The sequence below is a fragment of the Homo sapiens genome, chromosome 1 (assembly GCF_000001405.40).
Source record: "Homo sapiens chromosome 1, GRCh38.p14 Primary Assembly".
NCBI lineage: Eukaryota > Metazoa > Chordata > Mammalia > Primates > Hominidae > Homo > Homo sapiens.
Genome location: NC_000001.11, coordinates 194,182,461 through 194,201,664, shown reverse-complemented (window position 1 = coordinate 194,201,664; position 19,204 = coordinate 194,182,461). Strand labels below are relative to the sequence as shown.

The 19,204-nt window shown below is 35.7% G+C and overlaps 2 long non-coding RNA genes and 1 pseudogene across 5 annotated transcripts in view, besides 1 other annotated feature; 1 reads left to right on the top strand and 2 right to left on the bottom strand.

Annotated features, from left to right (window-relative positions):
• LOC124904475 (uncharacterized) overlaps window positions 1–19,204 on the bottom strand; it is a 765,263-nt gene that overhangs the window by 17,883 nt on the left and 728,176 nt on the right. The window contains exon 8 of the long non-coding RNA XR_007066777.1: window positions 4,079–4,142. This is a non-coding gene — a long non-coding RNA (uncharacterized LOC124904475). The remainder of the gene's footprint in view (window positions 1–4,078; window positions 4,143–19,204) is intronic.
• Window positions 1–19,204, top strand: part of LOC107985242 (uncharacterized) — a 199,987-nt gene that overhangs the window by 156,176 nt on the left and 24,607 nt on the right. The gene's annotated exons all lie outside the window — the stretch shown is intronic.
• EEF1A1P14 (eukaryotic translation elongation factor 1 alpha 1 pseudogene 14) lies at window positions 11,096–12,761 on the bottom strand (annotated as a pseudogene).
• Window positions 11,300–11,500: a silencer, noted in NCBI's record as "peak610 fragment used in MPRA reporter construct". NCBI's record gives its function as "represses an SCP1 promoter by STARR-seq MPRAs in K562 erythroleukemia cells {active_cell/tissue: K562}" and the evidence as "EXISTENCE:reporter gene assay evidence [ECO:0000049][PMID:32103011]".

The window sequence follows — 19,204 nt, the reverse complement described above, 5'->3', positions numbered from 1 at the left end:
AACAGAGCCCTCAGAAATAATGCCACATATCTACAACTATCTGATCTTTGACAAACCTGAGAAAAGCAAGCAATGGGGAAAGGATTCCCTATTTAATAAATGGTGCTGGGAAAACTGGCTAGCCATATGTAGAAAGCTGAAACTGGATCCCTTCCTTACATCTTATACAAAAATTAATTCAAGACAGATTAAAGACTTAAATGTTAGACCTAAAACCATAAAAACCCTAGAAGAAAACCTAGGCAATACCATTCAGGACATAGGCATGGACAAGGACTTCATGTCTGAAACACCAAAAGCAATGGCAACAAAAGCCAAAATTGACAAATGGGATCTAATTAAACTAAAGAGTTTCTGCACTGCAAAAGAAACTACCATCAGAGTGAACAGGCAACCTACAGAATGGGAGAAAATTTTTGCAACCTACTCATCTGACAAAGGACTAATATCCAGAATCTACAATGAACTCAAACAAATTTACAAGAAAAAAACAAACAACTCCATCAAAAAGTAGGTGAAGGATATGAACAGACACTTCCCAAAATAAGACATTTATGCAGCCAAAAGACATATGAAAAAATGCTCATCATCACTGGCCATCAGAGAAATGCAAATCAAAACCACAGTGAGATACCATCTCACACCAGTTAGAATGGCAATCATTACAAAGTCAGGAAACAACAACAGGTGCTGGAGAGGATGTGGAGAAATAGGAACACTTTTACACTGTTGGTGGGAATGTAAATTAGTTCAACCATTGTGGAAGTCAGTGTGGCGATTCCTCAGGGACCTAGAACTAGAAATACCATTTGACCCAGCCATCCCATTACTGGGTATATACCCAAAGAATTATAAATCATGCTGCTATAAAGACACATGCACACGTCTGTTTATTGCGGCACTATTCACAATAGCAAAGACTTGGAACCAACCCAAATGTCCAACAATGATAGACTGGATTAAGAAAATGTGGCACATATACACCATGGAATACTACTCAGCCATAGAAAATGATGAGTTCATGTCCTTTGTAGGGACATGGATGAAGCTGGAAACCATCATTCTCAGCAAACTATCACAAGGACAAAAAAACCAAACACCACATGTTCTCACTCATAGGTGGGAATTGAACAATGAGAACACATGGCCACAGGAAGGGGAACATCACACACTGGGGCCTATTGTGGGGTAGGGGGCTAGGAGAGGGATAGCATTAGTAGGTATACCTAATGTTAAATGACGAGTTAATGGTTGCAGCACACCAACATGGCACATGTATACATATGTAACAGACCTGCACGTTGTGCCCATGTACCCTAAAACTTACTTAAAGTGTAATTAAAAAAAAATAAAATCTATTTTTTCCCATATAATAATAATTTGAGAGAGGAATTCTGGTCTGTTTTTATTATATTATATTACTTTGCATTTTTCTTAAGATATTTTAAGTAAATTACTTTGAAAAATTCTAACAGTAATTGCATAAGCAAATCTGATTTGATAAATCACTTAATATCTGCATTTTGTGAGTTCAATTAAAATATGAGACGCTTCTCAAATAAGTTCAAAAATTTTCCAAGTAGAAATTAGAAACAAGGAAATGGAAGCTGTATGGTGATTATTTCATAATAATTTACAAATAATATTGTTTTATTCAAATTTATTTTAAGTATATAGAAGAGGAAATATTGAAAGCATCAGGTCTTTGGGGACAAGTTTCAACTTCAGGATTATTTCTTATGAAGAAGAAAAGCATCTTTCAAGATCTATTCTTACACACCTAAATCTATAAAATGTTTCCAAAAGCAGTTGCTGTTGCTGTCTAGGGTGAACTGAAAATCCAGATTCATTTGCCTTGTCATTGTTCTAATTTTGACAGCCTTAGACATTTGGTTGCTTAAAGCAAAGGCTGGCATTGGCAAATGAGAACAGGAAAGCTTGGGTTTGCCAATTCAATGCAGCCATTTAAAAAATATATATTTCCACATATATAACATTTTTAAAGTTGCAGCAAGCCCTGCATATGGCTTTTTTGAGGTAATAATAATATGTAAATGAATATAAGTTCAAAAACCATGCTAGAGAAATATTATAATAAAATATAAGGTACTTTTAAAAGATAGTGTTGAAGATGTCAACAATACTTTAATAACTAAAAATCTAAGCTCTGGCACTTAAATCTTGCTACAAATTGGAAAGTTGAAATCTGCATCTAAAAATTATTTGGAAAATAAATATGTAAGTATTGTACACTTATTTTATTGAACTTCTTATTAAAGAAACATGCACAGTGAATTAATAAATGAATATGGTTCCCTAGAGATGTGTGGATATCATTTTTTCTGCATATAAATCACTTCTTGGTGTGAGGTTCTAGCTCCACATCAAAGAGCATGGAGCATAGTAAAGTGTAACTGTGGAGGTCATAGACAGGGTCACTTTTCCAGATGGTGGTTAAATTGCTGTAGTTTTAACTTGGGGTTACTTTATTTTATTCTGAGTTCTACTTATTTTATTAAAGGAAAGATCATGATAAATTTTCAAAGGATTATCTGTAAAATAGATGAAAAACAAAAATGCAGACTGCCTAAGCTAAAGTTTAAACACTTATAGAATGAAGTTTAACCTGTATAGTTTTTCTGACTCTTATTTCCTCAGTCTCAATTTACTATTTATCAATTATTTCCTGTATTATCTCCCAAAATTACTCACTGACTTTACATCTTTTCCTAGTTTTCATTTTTAATATATTTTTTCCTTATTATCAGGCATATTACAAAATTAAATGGAAATCTTTTGTTGTGACACTCAATAGCCTCATGACCCACTAGAAGAATATTTGATCAAATTTAAGCCTGGAGTTACAATTTATTGAAGGCCATAGTAAGAAACCTAAAGGGAGGAAAAGTAAAAATAAAAAGGAATTGGTGCAAAACTGTCATCAGCAAACATATGCTTCTTTATCATTTATTCTTTCAGCACATTACAATGAACTTTTATTGAGGCATAATTTATACACAATAAAATACTACAAATTCATCATTTTATGAGTTTTGATAAATGTGTATATCTGTATTTCTCAATAAAGATATTGAAGATTCCCATAACCCCAAGAATTTCCCTTGTCAACTTTCACAATATTGCATTCTAATGACTGTATGTCTCTTTTCCAAACATAGACCATTAAAACCTCTTTGAGTAAAGGAGACACATCTTGCCAATGATTGTTCCCTAGCATTGAGTATAGAACCTATATCAAAGTAAGACATAAATCCTTCTAAGCAGACTTCGTGACTAACATCAGGGAGACCAAACAAAAGACAGATGGCATTGAGGAGGACAGAGAGGTGAATTCTGCAAAAAGGGTATGAAATGAGAATGAACATACAATGTGAAAACATAAACCTTTTATATACCATAAAAATGTCATTAGTTTTAGGTAATATATAATTATAATTAAACTTTTCTTGCTATAATCTCTCTAGTGGAGTTCTTTATCCCTGGAATTAATGATTTTATTGGGCTTTTATATTAATCAAGAACAATGTTCTTTGCAAGTAACAGAGAAAAATACATTTCCAAATATATAAAAGTGTAATTATTAGAAAATGTATCTAGAAAAAAATAAATAGTAACCCCTGGAATTGAACAGAACAAATGACTCCAAAGTCATTAGAATTTTCTTTCCTCTATATTATCTTCATTATTTTTCTGTGTGCTCAAACTCTCATCATCACTCAGTGTGGAGAAGATGATATGACTAGTGGAATTTCAAGGATTATTTTCTAATATCTACATTACTAAAGACAAAAGTGGCTCCTTTATTCTGACTTAGTTTGAGATACACTGAGGACATGAATTGATTGGACTGATTTATGTTACAAGTTAATTCTTATAAGTAGGTCAGTAGCTCAGAATTTTTATTAGGAAATCATGGCAGAAATAGGAAAGGATACTTTCAAGCCTACTTATTCGAAAATATGATTCTTAAAGTTAAATTAGGTTTATTATCATATGAAGTTGCTCAGAAATCTTTCTTTCTAAAGAGAATATAAATTATTTTGGGGAAGATACTCACAGTCATTAATATAACCCCAAAAAGAGTACAATGTCTCTTCTTTGGTGGAAAAAGCACTCTGCACCTGAGGGAACAGAAGAAAGTTACATCAGGACATCCTTGGAATAAAGTGTTCTACAAAAGAATGAGAGTACCTCTAGAAATTCACACGGAATCAAATGATATAATTGCTGGACCTCAGTAATGCAAACCCATAGGAAATCAGGATAAAAATTAGATCAGATTTGGTGGTGGTCTAGAAAAAAATAATTTGTAACAAAGGTGACCTCCTTGAGGGTAATCAGATGGTCCAGTTTGCATTGAAAGACACAAATAACAAATCCAGGCATGGTACCAGAAATTTTATATGGTGTCACTAGGAGCCATAGCATTTTCAACTCATCATCTTACCATTAAAGGGTATTCCTATTTATTCCCAGACTCTGAAAGCTGTCAGAGTAGTGGCCCCAATGACCCTTTCTGTATCTATCGATGTATGTCCTGCCTAGTCACCTCCCCATTGAACCTGAGTTTGACCATGTGACTAGCTTTGTCCAATAGAACAAAATCAAATGTAATACAAAAATAGATATTAAAAAACTCTTTTTGCATTGGGACTTACTTATGCCCTAAAAACATTTCCAACAGGTGAAGAAGTCCAGGCTAATAAGCTGTAGACATTTTACTCAGATAACATCTAACATTAACCACCTACTATGGAAGTGTGGCCACCTCAGGCCATCGAGCTTCAAATAAGCCACCACATGACTGCAGCTATGTGAGAGCCTCTTGTAGAGCGCAACAGTAGAAACATCCAATTGAGTCCAGCTCAAATTGCTGACTCATAGAATCACGAGACAATAATGTTGTCCTTGTTTTCCGCTACTAAATTTTGGTATGTGTATGTTATGTGTATGTGTGTAATTACAAATGCACATCTGAAATAGAAATAGTACCTTGGTGTGCTGTCTGTCATAACAAAAAGTTAGAACATGCAACTTTGCTTTGAGGTCAGCTGGCAGATGGAGGCTGGAAGAAAAGCTAGGAGACTGATATTAGCGAAGAAAAGCAGGGAGGAGACCCAAAGTCTGAGGCTGTGGAATTGCAACAAACTGTTACTGTGTCTGTCAGAGCTGTGGGGAAACCACTGTTGGAGGCTGGGATGGTGAGAACCCATGTGTGTAAAGGCAGAACAATTGGCCAACATAATTCCTGCAGTAGGACCTTGGATGACATTAACTGTACCTAATGACTGGTGTATCTGACTAAAGACATGTTCTGGCAGAAATGCAAAGTAACATGTGGCTTCTTTTAGCTATGCAATGACTTGTTGGTTTGGAAAATAAAGCTTTTCATCCTCAGTCTCTCAACCTGGCAATGATTTTCAAAACGTCTTTATTTGAGTATGACTGATACACAAATATCTGCATATATTTAATGTATAGAAATTGATGAGTTTGGACATATGCATAAACTCACTCATGCCATCACCGTAACCAAGGTAAAAAAAAAAATACCACTATCACCTCGAAATGTTCTTTGTGTATGTTTTGTGGTCAGAACATTTAGCATGAGATATGCATACCCTCTTAACAAATTAAGTGCACAATACCATATATTAACTATAGGCAATATGTTTTACAGCATATCTCTGGAACTTATAAGTAGTCTCAAGCTAAAGGTTAAAGCAAGGATGTCAGAGTAAGGCCTTTTCTTCAAACCTCAAAACCATTTAAGGCTATGCCTGATAGATCTTCCCAGCTTAACAAACTGGCTCCTAAAAAATCATATGAATATTGTCACACATTAAACTGACACTCTTAAAGGAGAGAAGTTTGTCATAAAATGAATTATGGATGTGACTTTTGGAGCATAGAATGAATCCTCCCCAAATTCACTGAAAAAACAAAGTTATTTAAATAAATGTCATACTAAAACTCCTTCCAGCTTGGACTCTAAGGGACGGAGGAAATTCAAATTAAATGAGGCCTCTGGCCCCACTTTTGAAATGCATACTGTAGACTCAGAGGGTTGCTTTCCTGAAAATATGAACCGCGTCATAAAAAATGAAGGAAGGCCCAAAGGTAGAATAAAAAATGACAGAGAAAGCTGGGCTAATTACCACAGACCCATCGCCCTAACACAAAACAATTTATTTTCTCACACTGTCCATGGGTTAGGAGTCTGGGTGTCCACCTAGCTGAGGCCTCTGCTCAGTCTCACCAGGCTAAACTCAAGTGTTGGCTGGGGCTTGGGTTTCTTCTGAGGCTCAGCTGTCCCTTCCACAATCACTGTTTGTTGGCAGAATTCAGTTTCTCATATCATAAAATGAAAGGCCTCACTCCAAGAGGTGAGTTATAATTTCCTGCCACATAGTCTTCTTTACAAATATAGTTTGCTTCCTTCTATGCCAGCAGGAGTGCGTCTCTTCAATGCATCCCTGTCATTTAAATGTCTCACCTGTTTAGACCAGATCCACTCAGGGTAACATTCCTTTCAGTTAACTAAAAGTTAATTGATGAATAACTTATTCATAAGAGATATAGTTCATCATAGTCATAGGTCCAATTTACATGAAATGAGAGGGGATTATTTAGGGCATGTATACCAGGATGTGGGAATCTTACGGGCCATCTTAAAATCCTTCTTACCACAGAGTGAGATCATTGTTTGGGCATATGTGGGCTGGATAACTTGACTTTTTACTTCATGGGTCATTGAATAAATAGTGTATTAGTTCATTTTCATACTGCTATAAAGAACCACCTGAGACTGGATAATTTATAAAGAAAAGAGGTTTAATTGACTCACAGTTCCGCATGGCTGAAGAGGCCTCAGGAAACTTACTTACAACCATGGCAGAAGGCAAAAGGGAAACAAGGCATGTCTTACCGAGAAGGAGCAGGAGAGAGAGAGAATGAGAGGGGAAAAACTGCCACACACTTCATGAGAATTCACTCACTATCACGAGAACAGCATAGGGGAAACCACCCCCATGATCCTGTCACCTCCCACAGGTCCCTGCCCTGACAGGTGGGGATTACAATTCAATGTGAGATTTGGGCAGGGACACAGAGCCAAACCATATCAAGTAGCTACCTCAGAAGTGCCTCACCTACATCCAGACTTGACGTACTCACAAAATCACGTATGGTGAGACTGATGCCATGATTAAGTAAAACTTTAGGTATCTTAGGAAGGGGTGACTATATATTCCCCATGAGGAGTTGTTAATCACTGGGTACAGCAACACATTGTGCTAGATTGTTGCAGCAATACCTCCACTCAATGCATCACACTTCTCTGTATCCATGCACTTGTGAAATTTCCTTCCCGTTTACATTGGATTTGCCTTGCCTTAACCAACAGAAATCAGCAAATGTAATACAGTAGCTTGAAAATTACTCGTGCTTTAGGTTAACGATCAAAGAACTGTAAACTTACGTTTAAGTCTAGATAGCAGATTAATTTCTCATAGTAGTATGGGTTAGAGAATCTGAATCATGTATTTCATTTGTATTATAATATTAAATAAAAATATTATAGCTAATGGGGGATACGTTTCTCATTGTTGGACAAAGAAATTAAAAATATGGAAAAAGTAAACTTCTGGAATGAATCTTCATACTATTGGATAATTTTAATATGTAATCTATGGTGTTTAATACATATATTTAAATAGTATTAAGTGAAATAAACAGGACACAGAAAGACAAATATCACATGTTCTAACGTGTGGGAGCTAAACAATTTGATCTCTTAGAGGTAGATAGTAGAACAATAGATACCAGAATCTGGGAAGGGTGTGTTGGGGGGAAGCTTGGGGGATGAAGTGAGGCAGGCTAATGAGCACAAATATATAATTAGATAGGAGGAATAAGTTCTAATGTTCAATAGCACAGTAGGGTGACTGAAGTTAACAACAATATATTGTACATTTCAAAATAATCTAGAAGAGAGGATTTGAAATATTCACAACACAAAACTATGATAAATGCTGGAGGTGATGAATAGCCTAAATACCCTGACTTGATGATTACACATTCTCTACATGTATCAAAATATCACCCGTGCCCCATAAATATGAACAAAGAGTATGTGTCAATAAAACATTTAAAAACATGTAATTACATGTCTGCTGAGATGGTCTAGAGAAATTGACATCCCAGTAGCAAAGAAAATACAAATAGCAGATCTAGATTTCTAAATATTATTCTCTTCTTAAAGGAAATAAAGCTTCTTGAAGAAATTGCTCTTCCAAGGGGGTAGAGCATGGATGATAAAAGATTAGCATGAAATACCTTGCTATGGCAAAAATGAGAAAGTACTCAAAAATCGATTGGGATAGGACAAAAATTTATAGGACTCTGCTTGAGTTTTGGTTAATAGGTACAAAAATATAGTTAGATACAATGAATAAGACCTAGTGTTTGATACGAAAACAGCGTGGCTATAGTGATAGTAAAGCAGTGGCTAAATTTGTTGTACACTTTAAAATAACAGAGAGGCTACCATGGGAATGTTTGTAACACTAAGAAATTATGAATGCTTGAGTTGATGAATATCCCATTTATCATGATGTGATTATTGCACAGTATATAGCTATCAAAATACCCCATGTTTCCCATAAATATATGTATCTACTATATACCCATAAACATTAAAAACTAAAAGGAAGGAAAAAAAGAAATGACAAGATAGCTATTCTATTCATATTTTATGGTGACATCAACCCATTTAATAGAAGAACACTTCATATAAAATATTAATTAGAAAAAAATAAAGTAACAATATGATTTAATCTTAACATTTTAAAAAGCAAACACTATGACACTGTAGACTCTAACAAATGTTTGTTTTCAGCAACTTTGTGAAATAAATTTTTAGTCATACTAACAATTAATTAAAGGAAATTTGTTATTTCTTCCAAATGGAATCTAAATGTGAATACATCTTTTTTCTTCTTCATAAATTATTTCAATATTTGATTTCAATTTTAATAGTAGCAAAATCTCATATAGTTCTATTTAAACGCCCTCATACAAAATAATTAAATCCCAACATCAACACTATCAACTGATACTATTATTTCCTTATCTGTAAAGCTGAGGAAACTGAGACACAGTAATTTTTGCAAATTATGCGGCTAGCTAATGACAGAACTGGGAACGGAATGAAGGCTATCTCATCGTTGATTTTAGGCTCTTAACTATTAGGTTGTTTGGCTTTTAATAATTGCGGTAATTATGTAATAACATCTTCCAAAAAATGCTCATCAACAGCTGCATTTCCCCTAAAAACCCTGGATAAGGAGTTACCTGTACCTTTGAAAACATAAGAGTATCAGAATCTTCATTTATTTATTATTATGACCTAATTTGCTTCTCTAACTACTATGCATTTTGGAAATCCATTAAAGCTATTCTTGCTCATCTAAAAAAGTGAAAAATGACCTACTAATAAGCAAAGGTGACTTGTGTTTTTTGTACACTGCATAAATTATTATAAACTGAATTTTGTAGTGTCCCAACTCTGACACAAAGGATGTTCACATTAAATTGAATCATTAATTTATAAACAATACTTGTAAACTAACTGTTTAAAACAGTCTAAATCATATTTAATTATATGTTCTTCCATTGAATGTTGAAAACTTCTGGATATATTTTAAAGCAGAATACAGTTTAATTTTCTCTAAAATGAACAAAGATGGCTTTAAAATTATCAATATAATTTTTCTGCCACTATCTTTTACATATACCAAATATTCTGAAAATATATTGCTTAATTTTGATATGTGCATCCTTGAAATTAAAATAACAAAAATGGATAATGACAATGTATATTTATATACATATTATATATATATAGTATACACACACACACACACACACACACACACACACACACACACACACAGTATACAACTGTCAATCTAAGTTGAAACAACCACAAACCAATGAACATCAACCAACAAAAGCATCTTTATTTTGGAAGCTTTTTAGCCTAGGCACTAACACAAAGATTCATAACATTGTTACATGCTTTCAAATCTATTCCTTTATGAAATAATTTTCCTCTGAAAATGTTATCAGAGGTCTCAAACTCATACATACCTTGGAAGAAAGAAGTATCAAAGGTGATAGGGGTTTTTTTTTTGACAGGAAAAAAGAAAATACATTTTTCTTCTCATAACACATTTATCTTCAGGATGTACTCCAGAAACATTAATTATATAAATGTAAAATAATTAAAACTCTATGAAAAAGAGAATACTTATAAAGTCCCAATATAACAGCTATTTGTGTAAATTTTTAAAATAAACACAATTCAGCAAGACAAAATAAAAATATATGGAAAATAATAAATGTACATAAAATTTTAAATATCAAAAAATACATGGAACTGAAGAAACCAATGGAGGTGTGAACAAATATTTTAACAAAAAATATTCACATTCATTGTAAAAAAAAGTTAAATGTTAAAAGCATTCAAATTACAAACTTAAAAATATGTTTATGAAAAACCCTACTAACTATTTATTTTATTTAATCATTGGATAATTTTTTTTCTCATTAAACATTCTTAGTGGGTCTCAAAATTCTGTGACAGATTTTTGGTCAAGCTGTTTCCATTAAAAGTACGTGCATACCTGGCCGGGCGCGGTGGCTCACACATGTAATCCCAGCACTGTGGGAGGCTGAGGCAGGCAGATCACAAGGTCGGGAGATGGAGACCAGCCTGGCTAACACAGTGAAGCCCCCTCTCTACTTAAAAATACAAAAAATGAGCCAGGCGTGGTGGCGGGCACCTGTAGTCCCAGCCACTCGGGAGGCTGAGGCAGGAGAATGGCGTGAAACCAGGGGGCGGAGCTTGCGGTGAGCCGAGATGGCGTCACTGCACTCCAGCCTGGGTGACAGAGGGAGACTCCATCTCAAAATAAATAAATAAATAAATAAATATGTGTATACCTATGGAAAAAACCTGCACTTTTCTGCACATGTATCCCAGAACTTAAAGTATAATTTAAAAAAAAGAAAAAAATACTGATTTTAAAAACGAATAACTTAAAACTGCCACACGCAAAAAAGAGAATCAAAGTGGTACTCAAAACATTTTCCTTTCCTTCTGAAGATTTTACGATGCATTGTTATCATTAACCAGTCTTCTACTATTAAACTTAAATGGCCAGTTTAAACAAACAGCCCTGATACCATTCCTCCACCACTGATTAAACCCGGGGTGGCTGGTATTAGGGATAATATTCATTTAGCCTTCTGGGCAGACTAGGTGACTTTGCCATCTCCAGCAGCCTTCTTGTCCACTCCTTTGATGACACACACCCACAGCAATTGCCTGTCTCATATCATGAACAGCAAAGCCACCCAGAGGTGGATAGTCTGATAAACTCTCAACACAAATGTGCTTGCCAGGAACCACATCAATGATGGCAGCATCACCAGACTTCAAGAATTTAGGGCCATCTTCCAGCTTTTTACCAGAACGGCGATCAATCTTTTCCTTCAGCTCAGCAAACTTGCATGCAACGTGAACCATGTGGCTATCCAGTGCAGGGGCACAGCCAGCGCTGATTTGGCCTGGATGGTTCAGGATAATCACCGGAGCAGTGAAGCCAGCTGCTTCCACTGGTGGGTCGTTTTTGCTATCACTAGCAACATTGCCACAACAAACGTCCTTGACAGACACATTGTTGACACTGAAGCCCACACTGTCCCCAGGAAAAGCTTCACTCAAAGCTTCATGGTGCATTTTGACAGATTTTACTTCAGTTGTAATATTGACTGGAGCAAAGGTGACCACTATACCAGGTTTGAGAACACCAGTCTCCACTCGGCCAACAGGAACAGTACCAATACCACCAATTTTGTAGACATCCTGGGGAGGCAGGCACAAGAGCTTGTTAGTTGGACGATTTGGTGGTAGGATGCAGTCCAGAGCCTCAAGCAGCATGGTTCCACTGACATTGCTATCCTTACGGGTGACTTTCCATCCCTTGAACCAAGGTATGTTAGCAGTTGGCTCCAACATGTTGTCACCATTCCAACCAGAAATTGGCACAAATGCTATTGTGTTGGGGTTGTAGCCAATTTTCTTAATGAAGGTGCTGAATTGATTGCCTCATATCTCTTCTAGCTGTAGGGTGGCTCAGTGGAATCAATTTTGTTAACACCAACAATTAGTTGTTTCACCCCCAGTGTGTAAGCCAGAGGGCATGCTCTCGTGTCTGCCCATTCCTGGGGATGCTACCTTCAAATTCACCAACACCAGCAGCAACAATCAGGACAGCAGAGTCAGCCTGAGATGTCCCTGTAATCATGTTTTTGATGAAGACTCTGTGTCCTGGGGCATCAATAATAGTCACATAGTACTTACTTGTCTCAAATTTCCACAAGGAGATATCAATGGTGATGCCACCTTCATGCTCAGCATTCAGTTTATCCAAGACCCAGGCATACTTGAAGGAGCCCTTTCCCATCTCAGCAGCCTCCTTCTCAAATTTCTCCATGATTCTTTTGTCGATGCCACTGCATTTTTAGATCAGATGGCCAGTAGTGGTAAACTTGCCCAAATCTACGTGTCCGATGATGACAATGTTGATGTGAGTCTTTTCCTTTCCCATTTTGGCTTTTAGGGGTAGTTTTCATGACACCTCTGTTCTGGCGGCAAACCCGTTGTGAAAAAGGGGGACAATTATTTTTTAGTACCTAGGTATACTGGACACTAGAGTAGGAATGAGACCCTATAAAGTGGTGAGCTAAAGAGACATGCTCCATACCATCAAAGAATTTATATTTTAATGTACATATTAAGAATGTGAACAGTTGAATATATAATGAACATTATAATAAACGTGAAGGTAAAGACACTATTCAATAGTGTCTATTCAATGACACTCAAAAATAGTTTCTATACTATATAATAGAGAGTTGTGGGGTTTGCGTTGGCTTCCTGTGGCTTCCTCCTGTGATTTCTGCTGGATCCTCTCTTCCAGACCAGCCTTTCAAGGTAGAGCACTCTAAAGCTTAGTCTTACAAATTATTCTCATCACTACTACATTCAAATACTGTGATTTGCCTGGAATCAATAATGCTTCCATCATTGGCATAATCCTATTACTTATAATATCACATATATCTTGCTGAATCCAAATTTTTATCTCATTCTAATATTTCCCCAAGCTGTAGGCTCATATATCTTTACACTAAGCATTCACATCCAAAACAGAAATCTTGATATCTCAACCCCATCCTACCCCATCCCCAAATTCTTTATTTCATTATTTGTTAATCTCAATCACACAGTTGCTCAGGACAAAGATCTTGGAAGCATCCTAACTGCTCTTTTTTATAATGCAACAGAATATCTGGTCATCTGCCTTTAGAATATAGGCCAGGTCTGATCACTTGTCAACAATTCCACTGTTCCTATCTTAATCCAAGCCACCATTGTCGCTTTTCTGACTATGTAGTAGCTACCATATTGGTCTCCCTTTTTACATTTTACAGTGTATTTCCCCTACAATCTATTATCAGTACAACAGTCTAAGTAATCATTTCAAAATGCAGATTGGTGGTGACTCTTCAATGTCTACAATCAATCTTTACAGTTCAGGTAAAATCAGAAATCTTTACTGTGTTCCAAAATGCCATACATGTTCTGGCCATAGGATTCTTCTCAGGCCTCATAATCTGCGGTCCTTCTGGATGGCTGTGATCCAGCCACACTGGCACCCTGCTCTTGAAACTGAGCAGATGTTGCTTTTATAGAAGTCTACATTAATTCCCTCTAGAGAGAGGTTCGTATATTTGTAATTCCATCATCAAGACTAGGTTCTATATATAGGCATTTGCCAGAGACTTATTATTGATAATAGTGCATGACATGCATCCTTTTTGAGTTAGTTTCTTTGTTTCCATAATGTGAAATTTTCATTTCCTTCTGTAATAAGATGCTATCTTCCCAAATAAAATAATTGACTCTGACTTATTTCTGAAAGTTTATAATTTTTCTAAAATGTCATACAGTCTTTTTCTAAATTTGTATCAGATTCTAAGATCCTATTATTTGGAAATGCTTTGACTACAAAAAAAGTTTAAAGGAAATTGTTTTATGAGACTAGTCATCTAAATTAGTAATACATTGTTAGTTTGTGTATACTCAATAAGGAGAAAACAGTCATCTTTATATCCATATTATTCTCCAAGTTTCAGAAAGGTAATCCAGTTGCTGAGAATTCAACAGCCCCTATGATATTAAATGGAAATGTTCATGCAATTACTGACTTTATGGTTCTTACTTTATTCCTGAGGGAAAGTCAATAAAAGAATAAAGGAAATATACTTCTAACTCTATTGGTTTTAATATGAACATTTTGTTTAATTGCTAATATTGTTTAAACATACATCTCTTTCATCTTAAAGCATTGTTATTCACATCCTCCTCTTGATCAAATAAGGAATTAATTCCATTGAATTATCTTAAATATGTTAATAAGTAAACAATAAATTAAATTATTGTTCCTTTAGAGTCTCTGGCATTCTCTCACATATATCTTCTTCTATTGTCCATATCCACTTTCTTCTACTGATAATATATTTCAGTAAAAATATTCATAGCCATCATTCTCCTTGATGTGGAGCAGATTTTTCCATGTTAGTAAGTGAATGATTATTAACCTCGGTTCTACTTTTGCCCGACATCAGTTTTTCATAGGTGTTCAGCTAGGCACTTGCAGCCTAATCTATTCTTCTCCCCATACCAATGCGATACCATCTGGATACAACAACAACAACAAAAATTCAGTTTTCTAAATTGAAGCTCTGTAGGAATTAGCGATAATGGTTTTTAATTCCTCACCCGACCAATATTAATCACTCCTAATTTCTATGTAATGTAGCTATCCTTTTTTTATTCTATATATCTTGTGAACTAAATGTTTTATCCATCAAAGCATACTGCAGAAACAAAGAAGCTAAAAGAGAAAAAAGAGAAAGAAAGAAAAAAAAAGATCTGCAGGCAGTAAGGGAAGAAAAGAAGAATGGAGCCACAAAGAAATAGAAGAGCTCCTGCTTTGTTCCTGCTGGTCCAATGTTTGGAAACTGGCTGGTGCTCTAATTGTATCTCACTGTTTCTCTTTATTTTGGAACAAATTGCTAGAATGACTAGCCCAGTCTCTGACAATTTGGCCTCCATCAGTGACACTGAAGTATTTCCCTCTTCCTCAAATTACTAATAAAATCTAAATAAGCTCTGCTCCCACCTGCTTAAATTTTACATCTACAATATCTGGAGATGAGCCAAATTTATTTGCTATAACCCTATTCATCTTGGAATCTAATTACCCGACACCTCCCTCAGAAGCCTATGCTCAAACTCCATCTCCCACAGTTCCTATTAGTGTGTGGAGAGACACTGACTTGTATCTCCTGCCCCTATTTTAAATTGTATCTCTTTAATTCCAGGTTAACATAAGACCTGCACATTCTATCACAATCTACCTTCAGAGCAATGGAGAGAAAGATAAGATTAAACTTTCAAACACAGCAAGTCTGCTTATCCCATTGTAAGGGTTTTGATTTGGAAGGACTGGGATCCTGAGACATGAACTTGAGAAACTTGGGTAGATGCACTAGAAAATTTTGAAAACCTAGACTTGTTTCCCTCATAGGATCTTCAGAAGCAGCCCACTCCTCTGTCTCTCAAGACAGCATGCCTCCCACAGCATAAGTCTCTGCTCCCCCTCATGGCCAGAAGATCAACAAAATAGGATTGTTCACAACGTAACTTGATAAATAAATTGCTGTGTTACCTGAAGGAGGAATGATACTATATCGTTAAAGATCTGTAGGAGTAAGTCCACATGCACTTGTATGAGCTGGGAGAGAATGGATCTGGTAAGAGCTAGAACAAGAAGGGCAGAACATAAAATTTGGTGAATTTTATAAACATGGAAGAAATCTCCTGTGATAAGAAAATAAACATCCTGATAAGGATGCCAGAAGATAGCATCATTATGCTGCTAGCAAATCCCTGTGAAGCTTAGAGAAAGTAATGATCCACCCTAAGCAAACAGAAATAATAGAACTATTGTGGCAAGTTGAAGAAATATTCAAAAAAAGCCATACAAAACTGAACATGTTTTAGTGGATACCATGTAATATCAAGAGCCTACCAACTGACTATGGTTTACTGAAGACAAATCATAGTTGGTAGGAGATACCTGGGTGAGAAAGGTACTGGAATTAATTGAGAAGTGGAGGATGTTGTCTGCAGGCAACTTGGAAGGAGATAGTAATACAGAAGTGACCATCCAGATAGCAAAGGGCATGACATAAAGGAGGTGATAATGATAGTGCTTAACCATCAGAAGCAAGCTGTCTGCAACTGTTGCAAGGAATAGCAAGATCTTAGTCACAGGCAGGTGACTAACCTTTAGAGATATCCAGGGATGGTAAGTGTAATATGGTTTCCATAGAGACAAGATAGAGAAGAAATTGGCAAAGGGTTTGCTTAATCTATATAAAGGAAGAGACTGTACAATTGATAGACACCTCAATTTAAATCAGAAGCTTTGTGCCAATTCAGATCTGAGTTTTCATACCTTAAATTGATTGACTCAAAAGATGACCAGGTCCCCAGAGAAAAGGACCTACAAAGTCATGGTAAACAAACACTGTGATGATTCCCTGCATCCTTCCCCCAGGGAATTATGGCTATTTGTTAGAGTGACTGTATACACAGGAAATGAAAACGTCAAACATATCAAGAACTATGGATTTGTGAAAAACACTCTGGATCCACAGGGGTTAGTGTTTCCATGGCCTGACACAACAAATGTACAATTAAACATAAGTAGCTATGACTGCTTTCCAGTCACTTTTGTTTCCTTGTGTAAAGAATCACCAATCTGGCCTCAGGAATTAATGCTTTGATTACACACTGTGGGAAGGTTGCTAAGAAATGTAAAATGTCTGAAATTTTTACCCTGCTTGCAAAATAAATAGTTACCCTGACAAAGTTTCATAATTCTGGCAAAGAACATGAGACTCCTAGGTCACTTATAAGGAACTTTATTACTCAGGGCACAGTATGAAAAACCACCAATCTTTCAAATCAGGGTGCTTGCAAACCACCTAATCTTTGCCTTGGAATGACATATCTTTATTAAACTTCTCAGGAAATCCATGCATCCTCCATCCTGGAATGAGCCACTGTATCTTCCAGTGCTGTTTACCATACAAATATAACTGAAAAGACGGTCCAAAAACACAGTATGATAAAGTCATGCACAAATGAAAAAGACTCATAGAAAATTGTCTCCCATTAATACCCGACACTCATTTCTATACCATTTAACTACTGATGAATTTTCTCACAAGTGTGCCATCTGCCTGCCTCTTTGACTCTGATTAATATGACTGCCAGGGGCTAGGGCTAAATCAGTTTAATTTGTGTTATGCAGCATTTAACTAAAGCTACTATTAACAGAACCCCCTAACAGCCAAATTAATTATTGACTTCAGCACTGTCCTCCATATTCCCAGTTGAATAAACCCCATAAAGCTAACAGTGTCTACCTTAGAAAGTCAGGTGGCATTCTACTGTAGTTTTTGTATTAACTTTTCTACCAAGTCCAAAGCATTAATACAGGTACAGCGGGTTACATTAAAGATCGCCTAGATACCACCATGGGCAACAACAAGGACAATTCCAACACTGCCTAATCCGGATAGCTTCCAGAACTAACACAGTATTTCCTTAAACACTAGAAGGAGTCTTACAACCAACCCTAAGGTGAAAGTCACTGTTTTTTGGTGGGGAGGCAACTTAATACCCAGCTTCGAATATAAGAAATATAATCCCAATGGCACACAAAGGGACTCCTGGAAAGAAAGGGTTATTTACAATTGTTGGAGGCCCCCAAGAAGAGCTACTCTGATTCTCAGTTTCATCATGAGGAAATGTCAACTAACTGTTGGCATGGATGAAGAGAACAGATTGAAATGAGTAGTTCCTTCAAAAATGAAGCCCAGACTCAACCATTTGAAATGAACTAGGAACCCTAGGGTCTACAGGTTGGCAGGAGGAGGGGTGAAAATTGGAAACATTGTCAACTTGTGACCCACGGGTCAGACGTAGAGGATCACAACAAAAGCTTTTGGTTTTTGTAGTGCATATTGTAATGTCCTATTCCCATAGGAAGAAAAACTTTTTTATTTCAAATACAATTAGAAAAGTTTAATTTTTAGAAATTTAAATGCTAAAATGATTTTTATATCTCTATCACATATAGCAGAAATTGCAGTAGACTACCAAAAATTCATCTATAAATTAGTTCATTTAAAAGTCACATTTTAAAATTAAAATACATACTTATTCTCTACATATATTATGCTGTAATTAAAATGACAACTTGGGCAATATTAGAACTCTGATTTAATTGAGAGATGTTTGGCTCATTACAAACAATGTATTCATTTTTAAAAAATGAAATTCTAATTAGCGTTGGCTTCCTGTCAAAATCAGTAATTAAGAAAGTTGTCAAAGTCAATCCTATTATTCATCTTGATAATGAAATTATTTAAACATCAAACATAAACATTCTATTAAAATGAAGAGTATAATTGTTGTTAACATTGCTCACTGGGCTTAATAAATATATCATATCAGCTGCATTATCCACCTAAATACCTGTACACAGATGCTTGTGATTAAGAATTTGTAAACTTATCAGAGGCTGAGATTATTTTAAAAATAATATTTAAATATGCTGATTTGGTACAAGTGACAATTGTGGGTAAATAAGGCTCCATTTTTTTTTGAAAGCAAATTACTATGGTTTTATGAGCTCTACTTATTTAAAGTGCTGGATTTATGCCTTTTGGCATATGTCCATGAAACTATTATCCATTGCCAAATATATCCATTGCCCATGGAAGTTTTATCTTGCCTATTTAATTCCTCCTTTCAGCCTTTACCCATCCCTTTTTCCAACCACTGTCAGCTTTTCTTCACTATATATTGGTTTGGATTTTCCAGACTTTTATATGAATGCAATTAGAGATTATGATTGTAGCTCAATTATTTTACTCCCCTTAATTATTTTGAAACATTGAGATTCGTCTG